This window comes from Homo sapiens, chromosome 8 (assembly GCF_000001405.40).
Source record: "Homo sapiens chromosome 8, GRCh38.p14 Primary Assembly".
Classification (NCBI taxonomy): Eukaryota; Metazoa; Chordata; class Mammalia; order Primates; family Hominidae; genus Homo; species Homo sapiens.
The window spans coordinates 42,349,627-42,366,378 of record NC_000008.11 but is presented as its reverse complement, the minus strand read 5'-3'; the positions used below and the strand labels follow the sequence as shown (position 1 = coordinate 42,366,378).

General features: G+C 40.3%; 1 protein-coding gene across 12 annotated transcripts in view; it reads right to left on the bottom strand.

Annotated features, from left to right (window-relative positions):
* Positions 1 to 16,752, bottom strand: part of POLB (DNA polymerase beta) — a 33,315-nt gene that overhangs the window by 5,430 nt on the left and 11,133 nt on the right. For 2 of the 12 annotated variants that reach the window (XM_005273535.5, XM_005273538.3), the window contains 8 exons: positions 16,314 to 16,372; positions 13,811 to 13,860; positions 11,858 to 11,962; positions 10,812 to 10,863; positions 9,156 to 9,210; positions 8,987 to 9,059; positions 5,014 to 5,084; positions 3,681 to 3,767 (listed from right to left, as the gene is read on the bottom strand). In XM_005273535.5, the coding sequence (XP_005273592.1) occupies positions 3,681 to 3,767; positions 5,014 to 5,084; positions 8,987 to 9,059; positions 9,156 to 9,210; positions 10,812 to 10,863; positions 11,858 to 11,962; positions 13,811 to 13,860; positions 16,314 to 16,372 (552 nt within the window). Of the gene's footprint in view, positions 1 to 3,680; positions 3,768 to 5,013; positions 5,085 to 5,176; positions 5,284 to 8,986; positions 9,060 to 9,155; positions 9,211 to 10,811; positions 10,864 to 11,857; positions 11,963 to 13,810; positions 13,861 to 16,313; positions 16,373 to 16,752 lie in introns of those variants that run through there. The other 10 variants (NM_002690.3, XM_005273539.3, XM_017013583.2 and 7 more) reach the window with 7 other exon arrangements.

The following is a 16,752-nucleotide window of genomic DNA, read 5'->3' as shown; positions in this document are numbered from 1 at the left end:
TTTTAGCCTGTTTTCTTCTGGAAATATGTCTGGGGGATGCCTTTCCTGGCAATACCAGTAGATGTGCTGCCAGATGTATGATTGAAAGACAGGGAAGTCAAGATAGGGTCTATCCTAGGATGGGTGAGTGGCCTTAGTATTCTTTCCTGTGGCACATGTACTGGGATAACCCAAGTCCAACACTATCAACAAGATCACAAAGACTTGGCTACCCACCTTTCCTTTTCAGGTTACATCCAGCCCACTAGATTATACTTTTTCCTTTTTTTTTTTTCCTTTGGGAGGGAGTCTTGCTCTGTCGCCAGGGCTGGAATGCACTGGCACAATCTCAGCTCACTGCAACCACTGCCTTCCTGGTTCAAGCGATCCTTCCACCTCAGCCTCCCCAGTAGCTGGGACTACAGGCGCCCGCCACCACGCCCAGCTAATTTTTGTATTTTTAGTAGAGATGGGGTTTCACCATGTTGGCCAGGCTGGTCTTGAACTCCTGACCTCAGGTGATTCACCTGCCTCAGCCTCCCAAAGTGCTGGGATTACAGGCGTGAGCCACCATGCCTGGCCCTTTTACCTTGTATTCTTGCTAGCTGGATTCCTATAGCTTCTGTTGGTTTTTCCTCTGGATCTCTCTTCGAGCACAGCAGAACACCATTAAGATTATAAAAAAACAGCTTCTGCCATGGTAGTGTGGAACTACCTTCCTGGTCATTAACTCTGAAAACAGTTGGCACACTTCCCAGTAAGGATTTCTAGTGACTTTCACAGGGATGATACTTGAGGAAGATTTAGGCCAGAGAGGTCCCCAAAATATGCCCAGACGTAGCAAGATACTTTTCTACTGTGCACAACATCCAACTTGTCTAGCAGATACTGTTTTTAGGATTTTATCTGACTGAATATTCTTAAATGTAAGATTCATGCACATTCATTTTGAGTGAATTAAAATCCACCTAAATTTGAAAAGGCTGTTCATGGGGCATACACAAGCCCTATTTTTAATACCATCTCATGTATGTATATACTTTTGGGAACAGAGTAAGACTTCAAAACTTGACAGAGTCAAGAGAACAAATCAGAGATTTAATTTCCAAGACTGACTAGAACCTTTACTTTTATCTTTCCAAAGTTCGTTTGGAAGCATTGTTAAAGTGTGACCACCTTAGAAAATACACTTTCACAGCCCACTAATATCACCATGCTGAACTTAATGACATGATTTTTTGTATGTGTGTGGGTTAAATATACACAACATACAATTTACCATCTATTGGCCATCTATTTTTTTTTTCTTTTTTGAGATGGGGTCTTGCTCTGTCACCCAGGCTGGAGTGCAGTAGTGCGATCATGGCTCACTATACCCTCGAACTCCTGGGCTCAAGCCATTCTCCCACCTTAGCCTCCCAAGTCACTGGGATTATAGACATGAGCCACTGTGCCTACTATTTTAACCATTTTTAAGTGTACCATTCTGTGGCATTAAGTACATTCACACTGTTGTGCAACCATCACCGCCATCCATCTCCAGAATGTTTTCATCTTCCCCAACTGAAACTCTGTGCCATTTAAACAGGAACTCCCTATTACCCCCTCCTTCCAGGCCCTGGCAAACACCACTCTACTTTCTGAATGACATGACAATTTAATTATCTTTCTCAACTATCTTCTAGTTTTGGCTAAAACTCTTGTCAAATCTATGCACTGAGACTCTTACTAATTTTAGCACATCCACTCTCCAAAAGCACAGTCTCTTTCCTTTCAGTCATATCACCCGGGAAAAGTGGGGTGTTGAGAAAATGGACTCGAATGATGTATATAAGTGACAGAACACTAAATGTCACCTTAAGAAAGAAGAGGCCCGGGCACAGTGGCTCATACATGTAATCCCAGTACTTTGGGAGGCCAAGGAGGGTGGATCACTTGAGCTGAGGAGTTCGAGACCAGTCTGAGCAACATGGTGAAACCCCACCTCTACAAAAAATACAAAAATTAGCCAGGTATGGTGGTGCGCACCTGCAGTCCCAGCTACTAGGTGGGAGGATTGCTTGAACCCTGGAAGGTGAGGCTGCAGTGAGCCATGTTTCGCCACTGCACTACAGCCTGGGTGACAGAGCAAGACCCTGTTTCAAAAAAAAAGGAACTAAGAATCTTAATTCTAGGCTGGGCACGGTGGTTCATGCCTGCAATCCCAGTACTTTGGGAGGCTGAGGCAGGCGGATCACCTGAGGTCAGGAGTTTGAGACCAGCCCAGCCAACATGGTGAAACCTGGTCTCTACTAAAAATACAAAAATTAGCTGGGCGTGGTGGCAGGCACCTGAAATTCCAGCTACTCGGGAGGGTGAGGCAGGAGAACTGCTTGAACCCGGGAGGTGGAGGTTACAGTGAGCCGAGATCGCCCTCCTGCACTCCAGCCCGGGTGACAAGAGTGAAACTCCTTTTCAAAAAAAAAAAAAAAAAGAATCGTAATTCTAGATTTCTATCTGCCTTCCTGTTGGTGTTTATACAGAATCATTTATTAATCTGCTTTTAATCCACTAGCCATTCATCTTGAATTATTAAGTCTTAATTCCCCCCCAATCAACTTTCCTCATTATCATTCCATGTAACGTTTCTTCCCCTGAGTGTTCTATCACAGACCCTGATGACTTTTCTTTCTTTGGTGTTGAAATAGATTAATATTTTTCAATCAATTCTAACTACGTTACTTATTGAAGAATTCTGAATCAGAGAAGATGAGAACCATTTGCTATTTTAGGGAAAAACTTACTGTGTGTCAAAGTCATTACTGGTATTTTCAAAAAGCAGATTATGCCTAATTAACCCATTCTTTTTTTTTTTTTTTTTTTTTTTTTTTTTGAGACAGAGTCTCGGTCTGTCACCCAGGCTGGAGTGCAGTGGTGCGATCTCGGCTCAGTGCAACCTCTGCCTCCCGGGTTCAAGTGATTCTCCCGCCTCAGCCTCCCGAAAAGCTGGGACTACAGGCGCACACCACCACGCCCAGCTAATTTTTTGTATTTTTAGTAGAGACGGAGTTTCACCGTGTTGGCCAGGATGGTCTTGATCACCTGACCTTGTAATCCGCTGACCTCGGCCTCCCAAAGAGCTGGGACTACACCACCATGCCCAGGCCTAATTAACTATTCTGATGACACGTGTTATTTACAAGTGGAGAATTAAAAGAAAATTCTTTCCTAAAATATTCTGAGAGTAGCTATGAGAATCAGGCATCCTGCTGATTATTTTTCTTTCTTTTTTTTTTTTTGGCGGAGTTTCTCTCTTGTGGCCCAGGCTGAAGTGCAGTGGCACGATCTATGCTCACCGCACCTCCGTCTCCTGGGTTCAAGTGATTTTCCCGCCTCATCCTCCTGAGTAGCTAGGATTACAGGCATGCGCCACCACGCCCGGCCAATTTTGTGTTTTTAGCAGAGACGGGGTTTCTCCATGTTGGTCAGCATGGTCTTGAGCTCCCGACCTCAGGCGATCCACCCGCCTCGGCCTCCCAAAGGGCTGGGATCACAGGCGTGAGCCACCGCGCCCGGCCCCTGCTATTATTTTTCTTTAAAGTCTCATGGATACTCTATTTGGTGACTGTAATTCAAAGCTACCATGAAGTCACACACTCAGAATGGCTACTGAACAGTCTCCAAGTTTTTTTTTAGATGTGCTAACTCTAACAAGTACTTACCATGAACTTTGTCTCACCCTTTGACAGGGTATCTGTGATAAAATGAACCTTTTGTAACTGCTCCACAACCTGATGTAACAGTTTTGGCTGTAGAATCATAATTAGGGAATAAGAAAAAGAGTAATTACTTTGTAATGGCAAGAAAATATTTAACAATATTTTTAGAGACACAGTCTTGCTATATTGCACAGGCTGGAGACTGTGCTATTCACAGGTACAATCATGGCAAACTATAGCCTTGAACTCCTGGACTCAAGTGATCCTCCCACCTCAGCATCCAGAGTACCAGGAACAACATCATGCCTGAATAAGAAAACTTTTTTTTTTTTTGGCAGGGAATCGAGCCCGGGAAGAAAACATTTTTAACATGAGTTTTCTAATTATTTATGGAGAAATCTCTATTTTATTTTATTTTATTTTATTTTATTTTATTTTATTTTTAGATGGAGTCTCGTTCTGTTGCCAGGCTGGAGTGCAGTGGCACGATCTCGGCTCACTGCAACCTTTGCCTCCTGGGTTCAAGCGATTCTCCTGCCTCAGCCTCCCGAGTAGCTGGGACTACAGGCGCGCACCACCACGCCTGGTTAATTTTGTATTTTTAGTGGAGACGGGGTTTCACCATGTTGGGCAGGATGGTCTTGATCTCCTGACCTCGTGATCCACCTGCCTTGGCCTCCCAAAGTGTTGTGATTACAGGCATGAGCCACCGTGCCCGGCCATCTCTATGTTTTCTAATGTTCTGAGCAAGTACTTTTTCCCTCTAATAGAAAATTCATCTTATCAAATGAAACATATTTTTAGAAACCACTGTTTAAGGTATTACGATTGTAAAAACAATGATCAGTTGTATTTATCTGTTTCCTTAAATCAAAGAGTTTTCCTGTTCTTGAAATGGCTCATGGGAAAAAAAAGCAATCAAAGAGTCAGCTGTTTCACCTTCCAAAGGCATATATTCTAAAATAAAAAATGTTTTGCCTTCACAGGTTTTCTAATAGAAGGTTTCTCAATATTTCATTTTTTAAGATAAAATTTAATGAAAATCTGATTATAGTATTTCTAAAGTATTTATCACAGACAGTAAATCGTTCTAAAACTATTGTATTCAATGTTTTCTCTTTCAAATGTTAGACTGTCCTCCCAGCAACTCATGGAAGAATAATAGGTATCCTTTTCGAGAAATTTGCCTTTCGCAGAATTCAATCAGTACAAAGCTCTTCAGACTTTTCAGGAAGGCGAAAACAAAACTTATTCTGAAAATACCCAACTATCACTTAAAAAGTGAAATTCACTGTTGTGTAAGACTGATCACCATTGATTATAAACTCTGAGGCACCTGTTTGGTTGATTCTGAAGTGAAGCTGGGATGGGTCAGGAGAACATCCATGTCACCACTGGACTCTGCACCTGTGATGACAGAAGACACATATGAGATTGTCCATGTAAATGTATCAATTGGGCAAATGGAACCAAGCTGATGACACACAGAAGAGCCTTACTTCTTACAGCCTAACTTTCTATTTCACTGTGCTTCATAGTTAGAATTAGTTAAAAGATTTCAATTTTCTGTCCAACTATTCAGGTGTATTGATGTAGACAGCAGAATCTGTGATGACAACAGTAATTGGCATTAGATATACATTGCATACAACGAGTTAATTTAATGTATTAAAAATGCACCTAAGTAACTACTCAATAATGAATAAAAACAATATTTTAAAATAGCTTTAAAATACACCTATGAACAACTCTATATGTAAAAATCTCAAATTAAACAATATACTCTAACTCTATAAAGGTTAATCAGAAAACTCATTTCAGCCGGGCACGGTGGCTCATGCCTGTAATCCCAGCACTTTGAGAGGCTGAGGCCAGAGGATCGCTGAGCCCAGGAGTTTGAGACCAACCCAGTCAACACAGAGAGATCCAGGCACTCTCTTTTTTTTTTTTTTAAAAAGAAAACTCATTTCAATTCTTATGGTTGAACTCAATTAATAGGTCTATACTCTACAACCACATAGCTTCAGGCAAGTTATATACAGCTATTTAAACCTTTCTTTTCCTATATTCTATGAAATTCTGTCTCCACTGAGATGGAATTTTTTCATTTTACTTTTTTTTCAGTGTTGCAAGTGAGGACTCTTCATTCCTCTAGACCTCAGTTTTCTTATATGTAAACTACTAAAAACTACTTCATATGCTATTGTGTAAGTAAATAAGAACATATGTAAAAGCATCCACTATAGTGCCTGGTATACAGCATAAAAGAATCCAATCTATCTCCTCCCTTTCATTTTGATAAGTACAACAGAGGCCAAACACCCTTTTGGTAACTAAAGAGCTTGCAGTGTCTTTGCGATCCTCCCACTTCAGCCTCCCAAAGTGCTGGGATTACAAGCATGAGCCACAGTGCCTTAACCAAATATTTAAATATAAAGAAGGCCAGGCCGGGCAAGGTGGCTCACACGTGTAATCCTAGCACTTTGGGAGGCCAAGGTGGGCGGATCACTTGAGGTCAGGAGGTCAAGACCAGCCTGGCCAACATGGTGAAACCCCTTTTCTACTAAAAAAAAAAAAAATACAAAAATTAGCCGGGCATGGTGGTGTTTGCCTGTAACCTCAGCTACTCAGGAGGTTGAGGCAGGAGAATTGCTTGAACCTGGGAAGTGGAAGTTGCAGTGAGCTGAGATCACACCACTGCACTCCAGCCTGGGCGACAAAGCGAGACTCTGCCTCAAAAAAAAAAGAAAAAAAGAAGACTAGACTGAATGTGTACTGGACATCCATGGAAACTATTTTAATCAAGAAAATTCTATTGCCTTCTCTTGTTCTCATTTCCTCCTCCTAAAAGCTGGATGTCTTTCACTGTCCGCCTACCAACAAAAATGTTTCACTTTATTAAAAAAAAAACAAAAACAAAGTGTATGAGCAAAGAAAGAGAAACAACCCAAGGGTCCATTAATAGCGGACTGGATAAACAAATGAAGTATGATACATGCATGCAACTGAATGTTACACAGCTACAAAAAAGAATAAGGGGCCGGGCATGGTGGTTCATGCCTGTAATATCAGCACTGTGGGAGGCTAAGGTGGGTGGATCACTTGAGCCAAGAGTTTGAGACCAGCCCAGGCAACATAGTAAAACCATGTCCCTACCAAAAAAAAAAAAAAAAAAAAAAATTAGCCGGGTGTGGTGGCACGTGCCTGTGGTCCCAGCTACTCTGGAGGCTGAAGTGGGAGGATCACTTCAGCCCGGGAGGCGGAGGTTGCAGTGAGCCGAGATCACGCCACTACACTCCAGCCTGGGTGACAGAGAGGGACCCTATCTCAAAAAATAAATAAATAAGGAAGTTTTCTATATATTGATATGGAAAAATCTCTAGGATGTTATTTGTAAGTGAAAAAAGCAAGGTATAGTATTGTATATATATTATGTAACTTTATGAAAGAAAGGGAGAGAAGAAAGAAATAAAGATGGTATACTAGTATTTAGTTGTATTTTCATGAAGAAACGTTACAAGAATCCATAGGGAAGTGGTTCTTAATGGGACTTAGAAGGAGTAGGAAAGAGTGCATAGGGACTGTGGAAGTGAGATGTCTTAGAGTATACCTTTTTATGTGAAAGCATATAACCATACAACATACCCCAAAAAAGTAAAATTAAAATAGAAATAAATAAATCCAGGAAGGCTGTCATAGCCAACATAGCATGCATTTGGCTTGCTGTGCTTCCAAATCTACATTTTGAAAATACAGAATCCCAGTTCCCACCTAAGGAGATTCTTATTTGCAGAAGGGTACAACAATATGTATTTTTTTTTAAGTCCTAGGTATTTCTGATGCAGACATACTTGAAAATCTGGTTAACTTCAGTTCTCTCATTTTGCGAGTATGGAATCTAAGATCAGGAGAGACATAATAGTGGTAGATTTGGCCTCAGACCCCAGGTCTTTTGACCCCAGTCCAATGTTCTTTCTACTGATCAGTGAGTATGGATTTAGTTTTCTCTCTCCAACTCTAGATTCTTACAGCAGCTACCCAGAGTATTCCTGATAGGCCATCACCTACTTCCTAGACAAAACTCCACAGGTGGCCAGAGATTCAGTTCAGGTATCTACTCTATCTACTCTAACATACTCTAAAATGTTTTAAATAAGGTTTTTCTATTCCAATTTTAAAAGTTAATTTCTTTTTTTTTTGGAGATGGAGTCTCGCTCTGTCGCCCAGGCTGGAGTGCAGCGGCTTGATCTCGGCTCACTGCAAGCTCCGCCTCCCAGGTTCATGCCATTCTCCTGCCTCAGCCGCCCGAGGAGCTGGGACTACAGGTGCCCACCACTACGCTTGGCTAATTTTTTGTATTTTTAGTAGAGATGGGGTTTCACCGTGTTAGCCAGGATAGTCTCGATCTCCTGACCTTGTGATCCGCCCGGCTCGGCCTCCCAAAGTGCTGGGATTATAGGCGTGAGCCACCGCGCCTGGCCAAAAGTTAATATTTTTAAGCATGTATGAGCTTTTCAATATTTTAAACCAGTAAGACACCAGGATTATATGGTTCTTACTTTGCTCACATTCACACACTAAGCAGAACTCTTCTGATGAACCCGGTTGTTGTAAGAATTGGTTTTGAACTGGTACTTCTAAGACATTATTCTTAGCTCTCTTATAGAAAACTTGGGCAGTTGGGCACAGTGGCTCACGCCTGTAATCCCAGCACTTTGGGAGGTCGAGGTGGGTGGATCACGAGGCCAAGAGATTGAGACCATCCTGGCAAACATGGTGAAACCCCGTTTCTACTAAAAATACAAAAATTAGCTGGGCATGGTGGCACACGCCTGTAGTCCCAGCTACTCAGGAGGCTGAGGCAGGAGAATCACTTGAACCCGGGAGGCGGAGGTTGCAGTGAGCCGAGATGGTGCCACTGCACTCCAGCGTGGCGAGAGAGTGAGACTCTGTCTCAAAAAAAAAAAAAAAAAGGAAAAAGAAAGGTAAATTAACAAAACTACCCACAACTTCACTATCATCCAGCCAAAAGGCCAAAGACAACCATTACTAGCATTTCAATATACTTAAAGTCATTTAATAAACGTCGTTAAAACTAGTCATTAAAATATCATCCTATAATAAAATCAGGATGAATTTCCCCTAGTTACATATTCCCATCTATAAACAAATACCCTTAACTAATACTACTAGGTCTTAGTGAGTCTATGAAGTACCACAAATTACATCTTTTTAATCCAAATTCTTCCCATATATTAGGCAATTTTAACATCAGGGCAAAAATAACCCAAGATTAGGAAGTATGTTACCTCTTCTGAAACTGCCACAGACTGTAGCAATGTATTCAGAATCCACTTTTTTAACTTCATTTAGTACAATATCCTAATAGAAGAAAAATTAAGTCAGTATTCCCAAAATGGCTTTTCACCAAGTGACACTCTCAATTCTAATCAAAGAATATAATTTGACACATCTTACTTGCATTTGTAACATCTCTTCACGAGGAATTCTTTTTTCAAAGTCCCCAAAATATCTATAAAGACAGAATAAGTAGACAAAAGATTTTCGTAAAATTTAAATCTCCTTAAAAATTAAATTGCCTTTTATAACAATTGTCCGTGCCATACCAGCAGATCATTCTCACAAATCAAGGCTAGAATGAATTCACTGAGATGACAACAGCAAAATTGGGGGTGGAGTGAATGGGGGGAGGTTTATTCCTAAACTGGATAAAAATCCTTAAGTGTCATTCTTTGTAATATTTCAAAGGCTCCATCTAAACTTATTTGTAAATAAACTATGTGTTCATGTAACAAGAGTAAATAAATATATTTAAGTTAGGGCATTATTTTCAAAGTAAACTGCTGTCTACTGACAAGGCAAGGGGTTACAGTTTACCGCTCTTATATCCTGCAAAATTATATTTTCAAATACTATCCTGCAACATAAACTCAGACAACAATATGCTAAGTGGAAGAAGTCAGTCACAAAAGACCACATACTGTATGACTTCATTTACATTAAGTGTCCAGAATAGGCAAATCCGTAGAGACAGAAAGTAGATGAGCAGCTGCCTAGGTCTGAGGTGGGGGTAAGGGGAGGCAATGGGGGAATGACTAGTAATAGGTACAGGGTTCTTTCTGAGATAACAAAAATGTCCTAAAACTGACTGTAGTGATGGTTCCTACACTGTGCACAACTCTGTGAATATACTAAAAGTCACTGAATTGTATATTTTAAATGGATGAATTACAGGACATATGAATTACATCTCAATAAGGCTGTTAGGAAATTCAGTGTGAAACAGCAACTAAGCATATGCTTCAGCATGATGAAGCACCTATTCACAGCCAATTCTCAGCAAACCAGTTCTTCAGAACACCTCCATTTACTACAGAAATGCCAGGAGAGCAAGAACCATACCATCCAGGTCTCTCACTGGCTCAAGATTTTGGAATGGGAGTATAAGTTTAAAATATTATGGTAAAGCATCAACAGGAAAATTCAAAAGGTAATTAGGACTGAATCACTCACAACACTATATAATGCCAGAAGAGATACATATAGTGCTTATGCACTATAACTGTAAATAATTAGAAAAGGGGTTCCCAGACTATATCTGGCACACAAAATAATTATTGATGCTGATATAGAAACATGCCTAGTAGTTATTCCTATATGGTTATTTAGGTATGAGGTTTGTCCTTTTTTTAAATTTAGTTTTTCATATTCATGTCCTACCTTCTCGGGTAGACTATAAACTTCTTAAAAGCTACACTCAACCTCTCTGTATCTTTACCCTAGACCTAGTGTAGTGCTTTGTACAATGTGAGCATGAAATAAACACCCGCTGACTGCCTGATACACTCAGTCCTAGGTATTTTAAGAGGAAGTTCCCTGCTAAAGTCAAAAGAATAAGGGAAATCCTCAAAACAAGTAAACTAGAAAGCAAAAGTGAAAGCACTGTGTGAACACAGGCAGATACTCTGTAAGAGTCCACAAATCTTAGCACTTCTGAATAGGAAAATGGTTGTGGTTTAGCTAAGTTTGAAGAGTCCTTCTGGTGTATAAAAGAATGTCTATAAAAAATTTACTTTTATATCTCAAGTGTCAAAAGAAAATCTGCCATCTTACTTCAGCCCAATTCGCTGATGATGGTTCAATTTATCTTCATTTTTTCTGAGATCTGTATAGAAGATAAATAAAGTTGACATGTTAATTTAAATGCTTTTTGGGGGGAAAATGCTAAACTCAATGACCCTTTTTATAAAGAACCACCTGGGGAACAAATACATTGAAATGACTGAAAACACAATGAGACAAAAATTTCAGATATGAAGAGCTAGATAAAAGTGACTCTTCAGGGCCAGGCGTGGTGGCTCACACCTGTAATCCCAGCACTTTGGGAGGCCGAGGCGGGCGGATCACAAGGTCAGGAGTTCGAGACCAGCCTGGCCAACATGGTGAAACCCCATCTCTACTAAAAATGCAAAAAATTAGCGAGGCATGGTGGTGTGCCCCTGTAATCCCAGCTACTTGGGAGGCTGAGGCAAGAGAATCGCTTGAACCTGGGAGGTGGAAGCTGCAGTGAGCCGAGATTGCGCCACTGCAATCCAGCCTGGGCAACAGAGCAAGACCCCGTCTCGAAAAACAACAACGACAACAAAAAAAAACAGAATCACACCAAATTTTACTGACTATAGTGGTTTAATTTATTGTTAAGAGCAACAGTAGTAACCATAACTTCTGAATGTTTTCTGATTAACTAGGTTTATTCATAGTTTATTTGTTCTTTCACTCTTTCATTCCATTAGCACTGAGTAGTAGATTTGTGCAGTCATTGTGCTCAAAATCCTGTTGAGCCGGGCACAGTGGCTCATGACTGTAATCCCAGCATTTTGGGAGGCTGAGGTGGGAGGATCATGAGGTCAGGAGTTCGAGACCAGCCTGACCAACATGGTGAAACTCTGTCTCCACTAAAACTTCAAAAATTAGCCAGGCATGGTGGTGCGCGCCTGTAATCCCAGCTACTCAGGAGGCTGAGGCAGGAGAATCACTTGAACCCAGGTGGCGGAGGTTGCAGTGAACCAAGATTGCGCCACTGTACTTCTGGGCAGACAGAGCAAGACTGTGTCTCAAAACAAAAAAAAATTCCATTGAAAGGAAAATTATTACTGTACCTGCATTTTTTAACTTAAGAATTGTCATAACATCCCATATTAAGTCTAAAAGTGACTCAGTTCCATTCAGGTGTCCCTTTACTGGGCATGAATCCAGCTGTGAGCCTTGTTAAAGAAACAGCAAGATAAGCATGCTTCAAAAGCAATTCCTACAAGCCCCCTTATAGCCACAAATATACACATTCCCTCTGGAGATATAAAATCGAGAAAAATAAGCATCTTTATGAAATATAGAGCACTTAATATTTCCTATGGTTATGTGCACACAGAAAACGCTAAAGTATACGACTAAAACTGAAGAAGTGGAAATACTGAGTATGTTAGACAGATATAGTTATAGATATCAACAGTTGTATTCCTTATGTGTGAATTGTGAAATATAAAAACCACAACAGTAGATCCTTGACACTCCCAAGAGATGCAACTCAATACCTCCAAGAAACCCACAGATTCTTGACCCCTTTAGCCAATCAATTCTCTCATATAAGCTGTCTATACCACAGGCATCAAAGCATAAACCCTGTATGAGATGCACATGTAGAGTTCATTCTCTAGCAATGTGGCTCACACAAATTCTTAACTTAGTAATACTACTAATCATGCCTCATAAGAGTTGGTTACCATTTTTAAGTAGTACTAGGTACCAAGCACTCTGCTAAGTGCTTTACATATATTATTGCATTTAATTGTACGAAGCAGAAATACCCATTTTGTAGGTGTGAAACTGACGCAATAAGGTCATCCCACTCTAATAAAGTAGTGGAGGTGGGATTCAAAGCCAGGTCAGTCTCCAAAACCTGCCTACCTAACCACTGGGCTGCTTGCAAATACTCACAAATACTAAATCCCAAATGCCATGGATATGCTGTAATGAATCCATATGTATACATACACCCATGAAAAGTATAAAGAGATAAATTACATGTAAAGGATTACTATATTTAAGGAAAACGTTTTATAATTACTTGTTAGGTTCTATTTTTATCTTTTCTTTGAAAGCAAAAATTCCTTTAATAACCATTACAAATCTCTTACAGAATCTTTTTCAGTAATATATAACTTAGCTTTTAATCTAAGATTTTATTGCCTAAAATTTTATTAAAGAAATAAAGGGGGCCAGGCGCGGTGGCTCACGCCTGTAATCCCAGCACTTTGGGAGGCCGAGGTGGGCAGATCACAAGGTCAGACCGAGACCATCCTGGCTAACACAGTGAAACCCCGTCTCTATTAAAAATACAAAAAAAAATTAGCCGGGTGTGGTGGTGGGAGCCTGTAGTCCCAGATACTTGGGAGGCTGAGGCAGGAGAATGGCATGAACCTGGGAGGCAGAGCAAAAAAAAAAAAAAAGAAATAAAGGCAATTTAGATATTTGAAAAATTTGCAAACGATAACTATTTCATTGCTTTTAAGTCAAGAGGTTGGTTCTTGGTCTTCTTCTTTTTTTTTTTGAGACAGAGTCTTACTCTGTCACCCAGGCTGGAGTGCAGTGGCACCACCTCGGCTCAATGCAACCTCTGCCTCCCGGGTTCAAGCAATTCTCCTGCCTCAGCCTCCTGAGTAGCTGGGATTACAGGTGCCTGCCACCACACCCGGCTAATTTTGTATTTTTAGTAGAGATGGGGTTTCACCATGTTGGCCAGACTGGTCTCGAACCCCTGACCTCAAGTGATCCACCCGCCTCCCAAAGTGCTGGGACTACAGGCATGAGGCACCGCGCCTGGCCCTGGTTCTTGGTCTTCTTAGTTTTCTCTGAGTTAGTTACAAACCTAAAAATGTTTATGATGGTAATATAAACTATACCCTATATCTACTGTACTACAGAGTTAAAAAGAAAATCTTATCTTTTGTATCTACTGATTGAGAATGGGTTTTTCAAGTTGAAGTTTGTTAGAGCACTAATGGTCCTTCAGGACCATATTTAATCTGGAATTAGTGACCTACAGTCATACTCACCTTCTAGTGTTTTAATTCCTTCATCTACAAACTTCCTTGCAGCAGATGGACTACAAAAACAAAAGCATTATCTCAACATTGGGTGAAACTTGGGATCCTTGTAACAACCATGTCTTAATAGTAAGAAGAGCTGCTATTAAGCTAAACAAGACCTGCTAAAATGTTGCATGGCTACTTTGGTAATGTTCAACTGTATCCGAAGTACGAATTATTGAAGCTTCAATCATTAGGAAGACAACTATGAATTCAGACATAAAAAGGATGTCTAAGCAGCTGCTGTCATAGTGCCCATGTACAGATGGCACTTGAAAACTGTTCATTCATTGAACTAAGATTTACTGAGGGCCATTATGTGTCAGATACTTTCCTGGGTGCTGAAAATGTAGCAGGAATAAGAATGTAAGTGGGTAGATAGAGACAATAGTTAGTTACATAAACAAGAAAAAATCAGATGGATAAATTAAAATAGAATATGACAGAATGGCTGGGTCCTACTTTAGACTGAGTGGTAGAAGGTCTCTGAGATGGTATCTAAGCTGAGGTTTGAATGACTAAAGAACCAGCTATCTAGGGGATCAAAGAGAAAAACGTTTCGGGAAAAGGAAACAATTAGTGCAAGGGCCCTAAGGCTGGCATGAGCTTGGCCTGTTCAAGAGAAGAGAAAAACTAGGATGCATAGAGTGATGTAAGTGACGGTATGAGGTGCTATGGAACAGTACGCAGGTGTTACACTCTACTGTGCTTTTAGAGCCATGGTGATAGGTTTGGATTTTATTCTGAGTGCAATGGAAAGCTATTAGAGGACACTGCACAAAGCAATGATAAAATCTGATTTAGGTTTCTAAAATATCACTTTATTCATATAAATAAATCAGAATGTCAGAAATGACTGAAGATGCTCTTATAGGATGGGGACAGAAGGAAGCTTACTGATTAACCAAATTTCTCTCTTATTTCATAAGGAAGGACACTGAAACCTAGAAAGATGAAGCGATTTGCTAAGGTCACAAATCTAGCTGGTGCTAGCTCTAGACCATTATCCAGATTTCCTGACTCTCTTCTCACCATACCAGTTTACAGCATAATAAAGCAGGAGCGGTGAACAGAAAGAAATGCATACACACACATATAAACATACAAGCACAATAGTCTGGGGCCACAGTGTTTCGGGACAAATAAACCTGTATCATTCAGTAAGCTATGCAAATATCATCACATTATATTGTGATATAGAAACTGATACTGATGTTAGGAAGGCAATGCAGCATAGAAGAAACAGAACTGAACTCGGAGTCAGAAGATATGGGTTCAAATCTGGCTCTGCCATGGTTACTCATGTTCTATATTCAACTTTCAGTTCTCTTGCCTAGAAAAAAAGGATAATAGATGCTCTCTAAAACACCTTGTGGTTCACACCTATAATCCTAGCACTCTGGGAGGCTTAAGTGGGAGGAAGGCTTGAGGCCAGGAGTTCAAGACCAGCCTAGGCAACATAGGGAGACCTCTTCTCTACAAAAGATACAAAAATTGGCCACACATGGTTGCGCAAGCCTGTAGTCTCAGCTACTCAAAAGGAGTACTAAGGCAGGAGAGTCACTTTACCCCAAGAGTTCAAGGTTACAGTGAGCTATAATAGCACCACTGCACTCTAGCCTAGATAGCAGAATAAGACACTATCTCTAAAAAAAAAAAAAAATTTTTGTAATTCTTCCAATGAAAATTTTATAATGGCCTTGAGTCCCCAAGCAGTCATTTTCATTTTCAACATACTAGGTTTAAGAATTTAATATGTTTTAGAATAACTTTCACCGAAAATGCTGCCATTTAAAGAACAAATCATTATATTTAAAGGAATGCCCCATGCCATAAAGATGAGAGCACTAAAGCCTTAATATTTCAATGTTAATCTTTACTTCAGCCAGTGTCAAAAAAGCCCACCTTGGTACCAGCTCAAATTTTAAGATAATAATCCCTTCATTTAAAAATGCTTGAAGCTGGGCAAGGGGGCGTGCACCTATAATCCAAGCTACTCGGGATGCTGAGGAGGAAGAATCACTTAAGCCCAGGAGTTCAAGACCAGCATGGGCAACATAGCAACCCTGTCTCAAAAAATAATTTAAAAAAAGCTTGAGGGCTTGTTCCAAATTCATGAGGTGCTATGATAAATATCATGCTCAGAGAAACAAAAGAGGCCAAGCTGGAGCAGGAAATAGATGCACACGGAGGAAATGGTAGTGGAGTTCAGAGGAGGGAGAGGTTCTTTCTGCCTGGGTAACCAAACTGGTTTCATGAAGGAGGTAACATCTGCCTTGGATGGGGACCTTACAGTAGAGACACTATCTGAAGAATCGGCCTCAGATCATAAGCTATGGAAGGGTGAACTGTATGGCTAAGGTACAGAGGTGGTGAAGTACAGGTTTTGAGAAACAGCATGTAATTTACTTTGGCTAACAGGAAAAATAAACTAACTGACGATTGTGTCTGCTTAAAAAATAGTTCTTACCCAATGCCACTAACTCGAGTCAGGAAATTGATGGATGAACTCGTATCATCCTGCCGAATCTTTAAGAAAAAAAAAAGTCTAACAATGATTTAGGAATGCTTTGAGGACTTAAATGATCTTATTGGAAACATACCAGTCTGCTAAAAGACATGAAGAGCTATTTACATTTGCCTGGGTGACCCACACAAAATTATTCACAAGTAACCTAAGGAGTAATAGGTGAATAACAGAGTAACTGAAGATGTCTCATCTCTAAGTTATCCAATACTTTTAAAAGGTCTATTCTTAACAGATCAGAAGTGATATAATTACTATCATGGGGTGAAATAAAACCATAAAAATGCTTGGGAGAGTGTAAACATAGAAATTCTAAAAGATGGCCGGGTATGGTGGCTCATGCCTGTAATCCCAGCACTTTGGGAGGCCGAGGCGGGCAGAT